Genomic DNA, 17838 nt, shown 5'->3' on the forward strand with positions numbered 1-17838 from the left:
AGTGAGAGTAAGTCACCCTTGTTGCTAAAAAGATAACTTTTCATTTTGAAGTTTAATCAAACTACTGGTATTTTAAAACAATGCAATTTATGTTTATATGACATTTTCTATTAAGAAATGTTTGTATATTACTAAAAAGATATTTTATATATTATAAACACAGAATCCAAAACATTGTGTTAAGGGACTAACATTTACAAAGGCAAAAAGTCAGTTTTCAAGTTTTAGAAGCTTGATTTGAATGAGAACTTTTATATGAAACTCTTCTCCCCTACCCCCACAAAATAATCTCATTACAAAGATAACATACAGACTGAAATTAACTTAAGGCACAGCTGTCTCAGCTAATATAGAAAACAGAGAAAACGGTACAATAAACACTTCAGAACTTCTTCCATGACACACAGATCCCCAAAACGTAGTTGACCAGAACAGACTTTGGTCTAAGAGGAACAACAACAAAAATAATAATAAAAGCAGCTAATATTTATTGAGCATTTAGCAAAGCTGGGCACTCATGAAAGCAAGACTTCTACATTTTGTTATCCATTTAATCCTCACAACAACCCTCTAGTGGTTGTTATTATTATCACTTATTATCTACATTTGCCAGAAGAGGTAACTGGCACAATGAAATCCAATTCTAATTATTTAGGGGGAAAAGAAATCCACGAATATTTCTGTTTGAAAATGCATAAAAAGAAGAGGGCAAGGTTTTCTGTTTACTGTTATTGTTAGTTCCCCACTACAGTGTTGATATTTAAAATACTGTTCACATATTATATGCTCAGAACATTTTTTTTAAGTTAAGGAATGTAATTTTGGAAGTTGTATCAAAAAACAGTTATGCAAAGTGGTGTTTTGTCAGCCGTGTTTGCTTGGTTAAAAGAGAGGAGAATTAGTACTTGCTTTTACCTCAATATTGCTCCCTCGTTTAGAATACTTCTATATATTTTAATATGTATTTTAAAGAGTATTTTTTGTTTTTAATTATAAAACCATACTTTTTAAAATTAAGAAGTAATATATAGATACTAGCAAAATATGGAAAAATTGAAATATAAAATATTTAAAGTGAAAGTCTCTATGTGACACTATTGCTTACCAACTACTGTTTTTTAAAAAGCCCTTTGTTTTTCCCCATATTTGCTTATTCACCTTAATTAGTGATCACATGCTCATAAAATGGAACCATACGGTGCCTAATAATTTGTAACTTGCTTTATTTACTTAATGTTTTGACCCTTTCCAGGTGAATACAAGTTTACAAACTCTCTTATCCCACCTCTTGGCTACAGATATATTGTGGCATTGAAAAATGTTTGAATTTTAAAAAGTTAAATAACATTCCAAATAGAATTTGAGGCAACACCCCATAATCAAACAAATTAATGTATCTGCAATAAATATATGGCTATTTTTTCATGTCAGTTCACTTCAAGTTGACTGTCAAATGAATTGCAAACATTATTTTTTAAAGCTTTTTAGGTTTTAGAATTGGTCATAAGGAATTGTAGACCCGTACATAAAGATCTACTCTATCTATCTATCTATATATCTGTCTATCTGTCTGTCTGTCTGTCTGTCTGTCTGTCTGTCTATCTATCTACCTACCTACCTACCTATACCTATCATCTATCTATTTATCTGTCTGTCTGTTTAGTATCTATCTACCACCTACTTTACCCTCAAGCCCCCTCTCTTTCAGTGGGCAGAACTAGGAAATATATATGGCTTTTAAAGATACAATAAATCATGAGTGTATACTGTTGCTTCCAATTTAAATACAAAGGTCTAGAATTTTTACTTTATTGACCTTAAATGGGTATTTTATTTTTCTATGCTGAAAGACACCAACATAATAATATATTGTCTTTTCTAAATGTAAAGTATGTACACAACAGACTCAGAAGAAGAATATCAATGCTATTACCAACATTTCTTAAAAAACAGTTCTTTCTCTGCTTAGAATATGTCATAATAGATAAGATAAAGCTAAATTATTATCATTATTATTATTATTTTTGAGACAGGCTGTTACTCTGTTGCCCAGGCTGGAGTGCAGTGGCATGGTCTCAACTCACTGCAACCTCTGCCTCCTGATCTCAAGCAATCCTCCTACCTTAGCCTCCCCAGCAGCTGGGGGCTACAGGCGAATTCTTTTTTTAAAAGAAAGTGAAATAGTCTGTGTGCTGATGTTATAAATTGAAAACACAGGTTTATTTGATTCATTTGCTTTCAGAGTTTGGCGATTGCTCCCCTTACCCCCAACTGTGATTTTAAAAATTATATATAAACTCTGAGTCAAAATCAGTGAAACAATGTATATTCAGAGAAGTTCAGATTCTAAGTATCATCCATCTTGTCCATCTTGTTCCTCTCCTTACCTTATAAGTAATAATTAAAAAAAGACTTTAATTTATTCTTTAGTTCATTAAATTTAAAAATATGTAGGAAAATATATATCTCCTCTCCCCTATCTTCTACCCTTAGTGCATAAACAATATTCCCCATCCTGCTTTTGACTTGATTGTTTATCCTTGAGTAGATAGAGATATTCTTCATTCTTTTGTACAGCTGCATAGAACTCTTATTTTGTGGATGTTCCAGTTTAATCAGCCAGTCCCCTGTTGATCAGCATTTGAATCGGTTACGTTATTTTGTAATTATAAATACTGCTGTAATGCATAACCTTATGCCTAAGTGTTTTCATGTTTTTGCCAGTATACTTTTGGAATAGATTTCTAGAAGTGGGATTGCTAGTTCAGAGTTTTAATGTATATGTATTTTTGCTAGATATTGTCAATTCCCATCCGTAAGGGTCATGCCAACAGTTTATGAGGGTGTCTCTTTTATTGTACCCTCACCAACAAAGTTGTTGTCAGATTTGCTTATTTTTACTAATCAGATAGGTGAGAAATGGTATTCTATTATAGTTTTCATGTGTATTTCTCTTATTACAAGCACATTTAAGCATTTTTTTCTTATGCTTAAGCGCTACTTATATTTTATCTTTTATGAGCTGTTTACCTCTAGGCCAGTTTTTTGTATTAGATTATTGGTCATTTTCTTCCCTATTTTTAGAAGTTCTGTATTTTATTAGTTATGTTGGTCCTTTATTTTTTAATATTACTTTTTTTTGTATTTTGAAATTTTTATTTCACTATGATGTTGGGTTTTTTTTAATGTAAACAAAAATCAAATATCTCTTCCCTTGGGCTGTTGGTCTTGAGTCTTAATAAAGTTTTCCCTACTCCTGTGTTATAGAGGAATTCACCCACATTTATACTTGTATGGTTTTGTTTTTAATATTAAATCTTTTGTTCATTTGTAATTTATCCTATATATAGCTTGAAGAATGGATCCAATCATATCTTTTTCCAAATAGCCATCAGTTATTCCAATGGGGTTTTTTTTTGTCCTTCCCAATGAAATTTTTAAAACAATTTTATTAAGATATATCTCACATACCATAAGGTTTACCCATTTAAGGTGTAAAATTCAGTGATTTGAGTATATTTATAGAATTCTGCAATCATCATCACATTCTAATTTTAGAACTTTTTCAATATTCCAAGTAGAAACCCCGTACACATTTGCAGTCACTTCCTATTCCCCAGTCCTTCTTCGTCCACTCCAGCCCCAGGCAATCACTAATCTACTTTCTGTCTTTATGGATTTGTCTATTCTGGTTATTTCACATGAATGGAATCATATAATATTTTATGATTTTTTTTCATTTAATGTAATGTTTTCAAGGTTCATCATATTGTAACATGTATTGGTACTTTATTCTTTTTATTGCTGAATAGCTTTCCATTGTATGGATATACCATGTTTTGTTTATCTATTCATCAGTTGATGGATGGACATTTAGCTTGTTTCCACAACTTGGCTATTGTGAATAATGCTTTTTTTTTCACTATTTGTGTACAAATTTTTACATGTGCATATGTTTTTATTTCTCTTTGGTATATACCTAGAATGGAATTGTTGCATTATGTGGTAACTCTATGTTTAACACTTTGAGGAACTGCCAGACTTTTTCCCAAAGTGCCTTCACCAATTTATATTCACACCAGCAATGTATGAGGGTTCCAGTTTTTCCTTCCAAAGGAATTTAATAATCAACTGGTCTAGCTTCAGAAAAACCTGATAAGATTTTTATTGAGATTACATTATATTCATAAATTAATTTAGGAAGAATTGACATTTTTAGGATAAGTCTCCTTATTCAAGAGTGTGGTATGTCCTTTCATTTGTTCAATTCTGCTTTTTTTTTTTTTTTTTTTTTTTTAATTTAGAAAGGGTCTCACTCCAGTTGCGCAGGCTGGAGTGCAGTGGTGCCAGCTCACTGCAGCCTTGATCTCCGAGGCTCAGGTGATCCTCCCACTGCAGCCTCCTGAGTAGCTAGGACCCCAGGCATGCACCACCTTGCCCAGCTAATTTTTTGTATTTTTAGTAGAGCTGGGGTTTTGCCATGTTGCCAAGGCTGGTCTTGAACTCCTGGACTCAAGCAATCTGTCCGCCTCAGCTCCACAAAGTGTTGGGATTACAGGTGTGAGTGAGCAGCGAATTCTGTTTTTATGTATTCAGCTTTGTTTAGTTTTTTTAGTCCAAAATCTATGTGAGATAAACATTTCTTGTTAAATTTATGCCAAGGTATTTTATTGTTTGCTATCATAAGTGGAGTCTCCTCTTTCATTACATCTACTAACTGGTTTTTATTTGTACAGCTGAAAGCTCATTTTTGAGTGTGGATATAATAACCTGCAATTTGACTAAATTCTCTTACTGTTGATGGCAGTTTTTTCATATAAATAGAAATAGTTTTATCTTTTCCTTTCCAATTCTTATGCTTCTAATTGCTTTCCCTTATCTAATTGCATTGGTAATAACTTTAACACCATGTTAAATAGTAGTAGAGATAGGCATCTTTCCCTTGTTACTCCCTTTAGTAAGAAAGCTTCTCGTTTCTTTAAGTAAGATTCTGGTTTTTTATCATATTAATGAAGTATTCATCAATTATTGTTTTATTGTACTTTATTCTTTTTAGCTACTGTTCACTCTTTTAACTACTTTTAAAAAGGATGGTATATTCTGGATTTAACAATAGTCCATTGTTTAGATATATCCTAATTTACTTAGCCAGTAAGCCACCGACTATAAGCATGACCTCTGGAGTAAGAGCTGTGTGGATTCAAATCCTGGCTTCCATCACTTGTTAGCTGTGTGATCTTCAACAAAAAATTTATTATCTCTGGGCCGTAGCCTCTCTCCTCATTAAAATGTGAACAATAATAGAACCTACAGCATATAGCATTGCTGGAAGGATTAAACACATTAATAAAATTCTTAGAAGAATACCTGGGACATAGTAAATGCTTCATAAATGTTAATGCTTACCTTCCAATTCTTGTCTATTACAGAAAGTGCTATAATGATATCCTTGACCATATACTATGTGCAATTGCACAAATGTTTCTTTAGCAAAAGCACCTAAAAGTGGAATTTTTTTGATTAAGGAGAAACAGTTTTAAATTTCAGTAAACAATTGTCATATTGCCCTTTAAAAAGCAGTTATGTTTCCACCAACATTTTAGGAAAGCCAATGTTTTCCCCTACTCTTGCCAGTAATACATATTATCAGTCTTTTTATGACCTCCCAATCTGACAAGAAGAAAATGAGTTGGTCCGATTAGCATTTCTTTATTCACAGTGAATAGTTTTATAAACTGTTTGGTGTCCTTTGTCAATTTTGGTCTTTTAAAAACTTAAATTCTAGAAGCATTTTGTAACTTTTATTAGGGAAGGCAAATTATTGGATAACATACAACTTTTACAAGTTGTGGGCAGAGACAAAGCTTGTTTTTGATCAGAGTGAGTAGTGCAGTTCACTGGAGGGATTGCTGGGGTGTGGCCTTTGGGAGGGTATTTAATCTTCATGGACATATTTTCTCTTGAAAATGAAGAGTTAGAACAAAGAATATTGAGGTTCCTTTAAGATTTCTATATTCTCTCTGATGGTTAGGGATTCTATTTTTTCACATTTAATCCCTAGCACCAGGCCCATTGACTGTATCACAGTAGACATTTAGTAAATTCTAATGAAATTAAACTGCTTTTATGTTACCTCAGAATTCCTCAAGAAGACAGAGCAGTGCACTGGCAGTAAATGGGGACACAGAGCCTGTTTATTAAGTGATGTAAGATGTTTAATGAGGCAGCTGTGAGCTTTGTCTGAAAGGAGCAAGTTCAAGGAAGTAGTCAGATGAAATAGTGGGGATATCCAGCAGTTGGGCTGAATACAGGTTATTGCCTGGAAAGCTGATCTATAGGACAGAAGGCTCTGCTGTGTGGCTGTAAATCCACTGAGGCTTAGTAGTTTGATTGGTGGGGGTTGGATGTCAGAAAAGAACAGACAAGACTTCATGTGTCAACAGAAGGATGGGGAAATTAGACAGGTTATTATTATCAAGCTTAAGCCTAGGCAGCTGGTTTGAAATTAGCCTGGGAAGTCACACAAAGGAAAATAAGACCCTATTTTCTGGGTTGCTTAGGACTCTGCTTCAGTGATCAAATCTTAGCTGCAGAGCTCATAAGATGTGCTGTATTTAGGCATGGACATAGAGGCAGTGTGGTAGGATAATTACCTGTTTAAATACCTTCTTCCTCAAATACAGATTAATCTGGGACTAGGGCAAGGATGAATCTGCAAGTTCAGCTGTGGGAGACCTGGGCTGACAGAAGAAATAGAAATGGAGCCAGAGGACTGAAATTCCATTGTAGTTCTGTTGTAGTTCCCTGTATCATCACTATCACCACATCCACTGTTAGCAATTTGGTTAAGAAAAAAACAGTATCTTGAGTGTACATTGAGCTTTTGATTCAAGATGCTCAAAACCTTTTTTTTTTTTTTTGAGACAAAGCCTCACTATGTCACCCAGGCTGGAGTGCAGTGGTGCGATCTCAGCTCACTGCAACCTCCGCCTCCCGGGTTCAAGCTAAGTTTCCAGCCTTAGCCCCTGGGGAAGCTGGGACTACAGGTGCTGGCCACCATGCCTGGTTAATTTTTTTTTTTTTTTTTTTTGTATTTTTAGTAGAGATGGGGTTTTGCCATGTTGGCCAGGCTAGTCTCAAACTCCTGTGGCCTCAAGTGATCCACCCACCGTGGCCTCCCAAAGTGCTGGGATTACAGGCAAGATGCTCAAAATCTTTTATCAATTGTTGACCCTTTAAAATCCCCACAATATATCTTGACGGTAAACTAAAATGGTATTTAGTTTATAATGGAAAGCATTAATAGGATATGTAGAATATTAGATTTAGAACCCGGGCGTATGAATCTTAGCATAATGCTTCCTGGGAAATTCTGAAATTGATTCCATTTCTGCCGTTACAAACACACACGAAGTTCCTAGTTCACTGGGACTTCCTGATTTGTTCTTTTAGCTTGCTCCTTCTCACCTAGAAGCTCTGTTTATTTCTGAGCAACCCTGGGGCTTGTCTCATAGGACAGGATTTATTTATCTCATCAAGGCTGAGTGTGCCTTAGGAAGTCATAAACATAAAAAGAGAAGAAAAAAAAAAACAGAATATGAGAGTTGTAAGCCTTCCTACTGCTGAGATACTAAGTTACAATGGGTTGAATTTAGGATATGCAATAGTCTGGCTTCTAAACCCTGATAGTGTTTATTTATAGCAGGTTAGTGGCTGTGGGGTAGGGAGGTTATAGAGGATTAGCGTCTCATGGAAAGGCTCTTATACTTAAAAGTGGTACCACTGGCTCAGGGCAGTTTCAGAGGGTATGTGCCGGGAACAGGGATATTAATTGCGGAGCTGGCTGGCCTCGTGCTGGAAGAGATGGTATCAAATAGAGCAGCTTAGGCCCTGCTGCTGCTGATTTTCTTTTTTACACTGATGATATATTAGTTACTTTAGTATTTTGTGCAAAGCTATACAAATGTGTGTGAAATCCTTTGTCATCCCCCATTCTGCTGGAAAGTGAAGTAAAAAGCTACTTGTATTCTAGCAATCGTAGCAATTTTTGGAAAGTTTAAATTATTGGGGTAAATTCCTGGTATTTTTTGTTTGTTGAAGCTTGATAGAGCCCCTTGTGTGTGTGTATAAGAAATAATAGCATAAAGATTTAAAAATAGTCTCGGAAAAAAATAAGTTGCATACATGTTATTTGTCTTAAGTGCTATGGTGTCCTAAGCACCTCTGTATGAGGAAAGGAGTAAATCTGTTATTTTCCTTTATACTGAGAACGATTGTTTTGCATTGAACCTTTCGGTTATGAAATACCTGGCTTCACTACTTAAAAAATTAACTAGCAGTGGATAACAGAGTAGCTTTGCTGGCACCGTACTAGTCTAGTAGCACAGTGGACCCAATGGATTCATCTGTCATATCTGTCATATTACTGAACATTATACAAACTCTTCCCTAAACTAAGGGTATTTTTAATGCAGAGCTTTGATGCCATGTAAAATTTCCTCATGTAACACAAATGATGTGCTTATTCTGATTACAGTTTTATTTCATGGGTCCCTGTCAATTTTTATAATGATAATGTCACAGTAATAACATGGTTAATGATAAATGAGAATTAAGGCATGTAGCATTTCCTATTACCCACCTTACAACATACACATTTCTGTAGTTTTTTTCAGTCCAGTGGTGGAGAAGGTGGGGGATATACAGGAAGCCATAACTCTTATGAATTATTTGACCAGTTTTTCATTCCATATCTCATAGATAATTGTAGAGTATAGGACCTGTATCCATTGTACCTGATACAACAGATACATGTAAAGCAGATAGGGAGGAAACAGTATAATTTTTATCAATACTGACGCTAGAGTTTTTCCATAGGAAGAACTTATGAACAGTAATTTGATTGAGGTGGAGGTTCTTTTTGGTACCCAAGGTACTACCATGATTTTACGTATAAAATATAACTTTTGCCCCAGCTACTAAATTCAATAAACAACATCTCTAGACCTGCCGTGGTGGCTCACGCCTGTAATCCCAGCACTTTGGGAGGCCAAGGCAGGCGAATCACCTGAGGTCAAGAATTCAAGACCACCCTGGCCAACATGGCAAAACCCTCTCTACTAATAAAAATACAAAAATTAGCAGGGTATGGTGGCAGGCACCTGTAATCCCAGCTACTCAGGAGGCTGAGGTAGGAGAATCACTTGAACCCCGGAGGTGGAGGTTGCAGTGAGCTGAGATTGCACCACTGTACTCCAGCCTGGGCAACAGAACAAGGCTCCATCTCAAAAAAAAAAAGTAAAATAAAATAAATAAATAAATAACATATCTCCAGGATAGACACAGTAAGAATTGATTGGCTAGTTTTCTTTACCCAGTTTAATCATATAGGCATGCTATTAGGAAAAATATGTAAAATAGACTTAAAGATGTAGAAAGCATTCCTTAAATTATTGAAAGTCATATTTTAGAAAATGAAATGTATGTAGTGGATTTAATTGTAATGTCTATATGTCTGTTTTTAAAAATATTTTTTCCTGTTTTTAATTAACATCAGAATTTAACAACTCTTCATTTCTCAATTATTGATTTTTGTTTTCTTCTAGGGGCCACCTTATCTTAGTTCCAGAATTTAGTCTTCCTTTGGAATACTACCTAATTCCCTTCCTTATCATAGTGGGCATCTGTCTCATCTTGATAGTCATTTTCATGGTAGGTACATTAACTTTTAATAATTTTTAAAAAATAGTATGGATGAATCTAAAAACATTGTATTGAGTGAGAGAATTTAAACAATGTGTACATAAAAGAGTACATATTATATAAATTCATTTATGTGAAGTTCTAGAAAAAACAAAGATAATGTGAATAGGAAAAAGTAAGAATGGTGATTTCCTCTGCCGCGGGGGGTTAGAGAGAAGTGATCGATTTACTGAAAAGAGTATAAGGGAACTTTTGGGGGATGACAGTCGTGTTCTGTATCTTGTTAGAGATGTGGGTTGCAAAAATGCATGGCATTTGTCTGGATTCACAAAATTAATTGTGTTGTACATTTCATTATATGTAAATTTTACCTCAAAACGAATTGCAAAAAAAATTTACTAAACCTAGTAATGACATGCATGCCAAAGTATTTTAGGGAAAGTACACTGATATCTGCAACTTACTTTAAAATACACTGTAAAAAAATAAGAGGAAAAAGTAAGATGTATTGATGGGTAAATAGGGTTGTGACAAAAAGCACAGTAAAATGTTAATTATAGAATCCAGGTGGATATATGGGTATTTATTATAAAATTCAACTCTTCTGTATGTTTGAAATTTTTTATATTAAAGTATGAAAAAAATAATGTGAGAGCTTAAGGTTAAGGGGGAATGACATATTATTTCTCCATAACGGTGGTTATCAAAATACGGTTACAAGACTATTAGTAGGTCTGCAAGCTCAAAATTATTATGTAATAATATTAAGGTAGTATTTCCTTTGGTCACTCTCATTCTCTTAGAGGTGTACAGTAAAAATTTCTATAGGCTACATGATGTGCAATATCAAAATATTTGAAAACAGAAGCAGTTTGAAAATCCCTCTGTATTCTATTTGGACAGATATTAAAATAGATTTGCAAAGATATAAAACAGTCCCACTCTTCTTGCCAACTTCTTTGTCATAAAGAATACATATTTTCATATTCAGTACATTTATTATTGTATTGAATTCATAGATTAGTTTAAAGATTAAATGCTATCTTTAAAATGTTCAGTCTTCCTATGATGCTATGGTATTTTTAAATTTACTTATTTAGGCCTTTCCATCAGTTAAATAATTTTTTTCCTATAAATGTTTTGCATGTCTTTTTTTAGACTTATTACACATATAGTAAGTTTTTCTTGCTACCAAAAAAAGGATTTTTGAAATTATATTTTTTAATTGGCTATTCTTATAATTGAGTATTAGAGCATTGCTTTTTATTAAACATTTAATTTTGGAATAATGTTAAGATTTACAGAAAGTTTGCAAAGAAGAGAATTCCTGTTCATCCGTCATCTACTTTCCCGCATTGTTAACATTTTACATTGCCAGGAGACTTTTGTCAAAACTAAGAAACTGACATTGGTACATTACTGTTAACTAAACTCCACATTTTGGATTTTACCAGGTTTTTCATTAATGTACTCTTTCTGTTCCAGGATCAAATCCAGGATACCACATTGTATTTCATTATCCTGTCTTCCCTCTGGTCTATGACAATTTTGCTGTTCTTGTTTTTCATGGCCTTGATAATTTTGAGTACTAGCCAGGTATCCTGTAGAATGTCTCTCAACCTGATTTTTTTCTCATGATTAGACAAGGCTACAGGTTTTTCAAAAGAGTATCACAGACGTGAAGTGCCCTTCTCATCACATCATATTTGAGGGTATATGGTATCTGTAGAACATCACTGATGATGCTAACCTTCATCCCTTGGTTAAGGTAGTGTTTGCTGAATTTCTCCACTTATAAAGTTAATATTTTTTCCTTTTTCTACTCTTTTCTTTCTTTAGAAGTGAGGCACTAACTATAGCCCACCCTTAAGCTGGGAAGGGGAGGGCATATCTGCATTATTTGAAATTCTTCTACAAGGAAGATTTTTCTCTTCTCAGCATTTATTTATTCAACCACTTTCATTAGTATACACTCATGTATATTTATTTTACACTTAGGTTATAATCCAGTAATATTCATACATTATTTTTGTTTTTTGATTGTTTTTAAATTGTTTAACTTTGGCTCTTGTCATGCTGGATCTTGTGTTCCTTTGATTCAACGCTATCCCTTTTTTTTATTATTAAGCACTTCTTGACTACTATCTTGTACTATAAGATGCTTCAGGTTCATCTTATATTTTTTATATTTTTCTTGTCCCAGCCCTAGCATCAGACCTTTTCCCAGGGAGTCATGTTTTTTTTAATTAGAGAGCTATATTTAGAAAGCAAGGTTTGGTCAGGGGACATTATAGATTTTTATATATTAATCATGTAATCATGTCATTAATCATGTAATCATGTAACAAATTCCATTATGGTAATTTGTTTGTTGATTCCCTTGGGGTTTCAGCATAGAAGCAAGAAAGTAGAGAGTAAGTTAGAAAACCAAAAAACAAACAAACAAAAATACCCTTGGAAAACCAGGAGTACAAGTAAATAACCTTATACAGATAAAGAATATAGACTAAAAACTTAAAATAAACATTATTAAATGGTGAAATGCTAGAAGCCTTCCCTTGAAACTCAAGAACAGCGGGGCCGGGTGCGGTGGCTCACACCTGTAATCCCAGCACTTTGGGAGGCCAAGGCGGGCGGATCACCTGAGGTCAGCCTGAGTTCAAGATCAGCCTGGCCAACATGGTGAAACCGCGTCTCTACTAAAAATACAAAATTTAGCTGGGTGTGGTGGCAGGCGTCTATAATCCCAGCTACTCGGGAGGCTGAGGCAGGAGAATCATTTGCACCCAGGAGGCAGAGGTTGCAGTGAGCCAAGATCACACCATTGCACTCCAGCCTGGGCAACAAGATCGAAACTCCATCTCAAAAAAAAAAAAAGTCAAGAACAGGAAATGGATGTCTATTGTTGTACCTCCTTTAACATTGTGCTATATTTTTTGGGAAAATAAAGGGGAAAAAGCAGTATAAGTCGTGGACATAAATCAGATTTTTATTTGCTTGACTTTTTTAAATGGGTACTGGATTATATGTTTTTTATCTGTTGTAATAATAATTGGTTTTTCTCTCTTTTATCATGTTTGTGTTGGGTTACATTAATATGCTTTGTAAATTTTGAAATTCCTTATATTCTGGGGATAAATCCTGTTTATGATGTATAAATTTTGTCCTTACATCTCTGGATTATTCAGATTTCTAATATAGATTAATTTTTTATACTTGGATATCGATGTAAAAATTCTAGAATATTAGCAATCTGGATATTCAGGTAAAAGAAAACTTTGGTTTTATGGGGCCACCTTGACATCAAAACTAGACAATCCCTTGAGCACTGTTGGTAGGAAGGTAGAATGGAACAACCACTAAAGAATACAGTATGGCAACTCCTCAAAAAATAAAACATGGATCTGGTAATTCCACTTCTGGGTATATACCAAAAAGAATTCAAAGCAAAGACTCGAATAGATATTTGTACACCATGTTTATAGCAATATTATTTACAATAGCCAATGATGAAAGCAACCCAAGTGTACATTGATGGATGAAGGGATAAACAAGATGTGGAATATGCATACAATGGAATATTATTCAGTGTTATTAAGGAAGGAAATTCTGACACATGCTACCACATAGATGAAACTTGACTTTATGCTACGTGAAATAAGCCAGTCACAAAAGGACAAATACTGATTCTACTTACACGAGGTACCTGGAGTAGCCAAATTCATAGAGACAGAAACTAGAATGGTGGTTGCCAGGGACTGAGGGGACTGAGGAAGGGGGAGTTATTGTTTAATGGATACAGAGTTTCAGCTTAATAAGATGAAGGCTGTGAATGGATGGTAGTGATGGTAGCACAACAGTATGAATGTACTTAAGCCATCGAACTGTACACTTAAACGTGGTTGAGATAGTAAGGTTTATGTTGTGTATATTTTACTGTAATTTTAAAATTAACTAGGCAATCAAAATTATAGCCTCATAAAACTAAGCTTTCTCTTACTTTCTAAAATAGTTTTTTTTTTTTAAAGAAAATTGGGGTTATCTGTTACTTGACATTTTTGTAGAGGATGCCTATAAAATCATCTAGGTCTAGTGACCTTCTCATAGTTATATAGACATTCAGATGGTTTTCCAGTTCCTACTAAAGTGTATTTCTAAGAAATTTCCTGTTTTCAAGTGTAGTGGAATAAAGTGATTTATAATATTCATATACTCAAATAACAATTTAAAGAGAATTTCTACTATTTGTGGAATAAGTTATCTTTATTCATATCCATCTGTGCCTTTCACAATGTTGTCAGAAATTATTGCCTTATTAGTCTTTCAAAGAAGTAGGCTTTCATTCAATAAATATTTATTCTGTACCTATGGTGAACTAGGCACCGTTCAAGGGTCTGCAGATTCATCAGTAAACAAAATCGGTAAAAATCCCTGATGTTAAGTAGCTTACATTTTAGTAGAACTTAATGCTAAATTCTTTACTTTCTTTATTTTTATCATGAATTTTTGTTCTTATCATTTTCTTTCTTCTACCTTGTCTGGTTGTATGTCTGGTTGTTGATTCCCTTGGGGTTTCAGCATAGAAGCAAGAAAGTAGAGAGTAAGTTAGAAAACCAAAAAACAAACAAACAAAAATACCCTTGGAAAACCAGGAGTACAAGTAAATAACCTTATACAGATAAAAAATATAGACTAAAAACTTAAAATAAACATTATTAAATGGTGAAATGCTAGAAGCCTTCCCTTGAAACTCAAGAACAGCGGGTTGTATGGCTTTTCTTTTTCTAGTTTATTCAGCTAAATGCTTATTTTTTTCTTTCTAGTATATGCATTTAGGTTATAAATTTTTCTACAACAATAACTTTAGCTGAAACCCACAACTTTTGATAAGGAAAATTCTTACTTTCATTTGACTTAAATTTAAAAGTTTTTCATTTTAATATAGGATGTTTCTTTATCACTCTTAATGTTTCAATCCATATGAAGGGGGAACTCTAGTTACTATGACTCTTAGCTGTTCTCTGCCCATTTACTCTTTCCACCTTAGAGGAGATAAAGTGTCTTATCTGACACTTTAGGAAGGGCAAATTGGGCACACTTGGTTCAGCTCCACCATCTTTGTTTTGTTATTAACCTGACTTTGGGACATAGATGTTCATTCAGCTCCTCCAGGGTTAGGGCTGGTTCTGCAATTCTGCGGCAGAGTGAAGGGAAGGCCTACTTCATTCCAAAGTTGTCTTTGTCTATATCTAAGTGGCTAAGGCAACCTAATTCTATTGCTCAATAAAAAATTCTGTTTCTTGCACTGCACGGGGGTCATGCTAATCTTCTCTGTATCATTCCAATTTTAGTATATGTGTTGCTGAAACGAGTACAGAAAGTTCTGTTTCTGTCTCCAGTGAGAAACACTTCCTCCTTCTGGCCAGTTCATGGTCTTATTTCTCAAGTTATTTAGAATCCAGGTGGCAAAGGGGCGCATGCTGATTATAACACCCCCTCAGAAACGTAGATATTCATTATGATTTGTTCTGTGACTTATGAATTACTTCAGTACAGTTTTACATTTCCAAAATATGTATTTTTTTCTATTGATTTCTAATTCAGTTGTGTTGAGGTAAGAAAACATTGTATGTTATGGATTCTTTGGTTATTTTCAAAAACCTCCTTTGTGGCATGGTTTTCTGATTAAATTTTGTAAACATTCCATGTGTGTGAAAAGATGTGAAGTGCAGTTCTATGTCCATTAGTTCGAACTTGTGAATTTGTTTTGTCTAGTCTTTTAACAGCTTTATTGAGACATAATTAATGTAACTTAAAATTAACTCATTTAAAGTACACAATTCAATAATTTTAAGTATCTTCACAGAATTATGCAACCATCACCACAATCGTTAATAATTTTCTGCGTTCTTTTTCTATTTTCTGAAGCAGTGCTAAGAATAGAACAATATTATGAGCCACATTTTATTGTAATTTTAAATTTTCTGGTAGCCAAATTTAAAAGGTTAAAAAAAGGAAACAGATGAGATTAATTTTAATACTATATTTATTTAACTCAATAAATCTAAAATATATAACAACATTCAGTTAATACAAATATATGATATTTTTATATTCTTTTTGTATAGTGTCTTTGTAATCTGGTGTCTATTTTATACTTACAGCACATCCCAGTTCAGACTATCTATGTTTCAAGTGCTCAGTAGTCACATGTACTTGGTGGCTACCATATTGGACAGCACAGGTCTATAGTCTTCTAAATTTTTTGTGTGCTTAAGCTATAAGTTGCCGAGCTTGTGAATGTATGTATTTCACTATTTTGTTTCTAGATGAGGTGTTGTTTTTATTGTTGTCATGACTCTCCTAATGATGCTTTTTGCCTTAAATTCTATTGCTTGATATTCTAGCTTTTCTTTTGCTTAATATTTTCATGGTAGATCTTTATCCCTTTATTTTATTTTGTATGTTAATTTGGTTATTTTATGCAGGGTCTTGCTCTATCACCCAGGCTGGAGTACAGTGGCACAATCATAGCTCACTATAACCTCAAGTGATCCTCCCACCTCAGCCTCCCAAGTAGCTGGGACTAGAGGCGCACATCACCATGCCCAGCTAATTGTTTTTTTTTTTTTTTTGTAGAGATGGGGCCTCTCTGTGTTGCTTAGGCTAGTCTCAAACTCCTGGGCTCAAGCAGTCCTTCAGCCTTGGCCTCCCAAAGCACTGGAATTACAGGTGTGAGCCACTGCACCTGGTCCTATCCCTTTATTTTTTACTTTTATTTTTGTCCTAATGTATCATTCAGTTTTAATCTTGTGTCTTGTAAATAGCATATGATCGGAATTTTTTTCTTATACAATGTGATACACTCCTTTTGAAAACGGTGGATTTAATCCATTTAACATATATTGTGATCACACATGTATTTGGATTAATTTCTATTGTTTACTTTTTATTCTGTATTTTCTTCTGTGTAAATTTGCAATAATAACTTTTACTTTCTTTTTCCTATTGATATGAACATTTGCATTATATTGCTGTTCTTTTAGTGGTTACCATTAAACTTTAAAAAAATTTATGGAGGTATGATTTGATATAATAAATTACACATATTTAAATTGTACACTTTGGTAAGTTTTGATGTAGGTTTATAAGCATATATATCACTTATGCATATGTATATCACATATATCATCCATATGTAACAGATATGTATGTGTATACCTGCGAAACCACCACCACCACAATCAAGATAATGAAATATTAACCACCCTAAAAAGTTTGGCAATGCCTTCCTTCTACCCCTTCCAACTTTTCCTTCATCCTCCCCTCACTACCCTTCTCCATGCCCAGACAACTACAAATCTGATTTTAGTCACTATAGATTACTTTGCATTTTCTACAGCTTTATATAAATGGAATCATAAAGTCTGTACTCTTTTGTGTCTGTCTTCTTTCTGTCACCGTAATTATTTTGAGATTTGTATATGTTATTGAGTGCATGGATTGTTCATTCCTTTTTATTGCTGAGATATATTCCATTGTGTGAATATACCATGATTTGTTTACCCATTTACCTATTGATCAACATTTGGGTTGTTTCTAGTTTTTGGCTATTACAAATAAAGCTGACATGGACATTTGTTGTATGGAAATATGCTTTCATTTCTATTGGGTAAGTATATCTAGGAGCAGGACAGTTGGGTCACAGGATAAATGTGTGTTTAGATTCATAAGAAATTGCCAAGCTCTTTTCCAAAGTGGTTGTACCATTTTACAATCCCACCAGAAAGTGTATGAGAGTGCCAGTCCCTCCACTTCCGTGCCAACGCTTGGTATAGTCAGTGTTTTACATTTTAGTCACCCTAATAGGTATATTGTATTATAGTATTTATGATTTGAATTTTTGTTTTCCTATTGACTACTAGTAGACATTGCACATCTCTTCAAGAGCTTATTTGCTGTTTGTCTTGTATAGTGAAGTATCTTCAAATATTTTGTCCATTTTCTGTTGGGTAACTTGTTTTCTTATTATTGAGTTTTGAGAGGTTTTTATATATATTCTGGATACAAATCCCTTATCTTGTATACAATTTGCAAATATTTTATTTCAGTCTGTGGCTCATCTGTATTTTTCAT

General features: G+C 33.9%; 1 protein-coding gene and 1 pseudogene across 17 annotated transcripts in view; one reads left to right on the top strand and one right to left on the bottom strand.

The window, feature by feature from the left end:
• Positions 1-17838, top strand: part of RNF13 (ring finger protein 13) — a 149452-nt gene that overhangs the window by 89685 nt on the left and 41929 nt on the right. For 15 of the 17 annotated variants that reach the window (XM_047447380.1, XM_011512373.3, NM_007282.4 and 12 more), the window contains one exon: positions 9606-9711. In XM_047447380.1, the coding sequence (XP_047303336.1) occupies positions 9606-9711 (106 nt within the window). Of the gene's footprint in view, positions 1-9605; positions 9712-11344; positions 11471-11690; positions 17375-17838 lie in introns of those variants that run through there. The other 2 variants (NR_165474.1, XM_017005661.3) reach the window with 2 other exon arrangements.
• Positions 14970-15077, bottom strand: RNU6-720P (RNA, U6 small nuclear 720, pseudogene; annotated as a pseudogene).

This window comes from Homo sapiens, chromosome 3, assembly GCF_000001405.40.
Source record: "Homo sapiens chromosome 3, GRCh38.p14 Primary Assembly".
Classification (NCBI taxonomy): domain Eukaryota; kingdom Metazoa; phylum Chordata; class Mammalia; order Primates; family Hominidae; genus Homo; species Homo sapiens.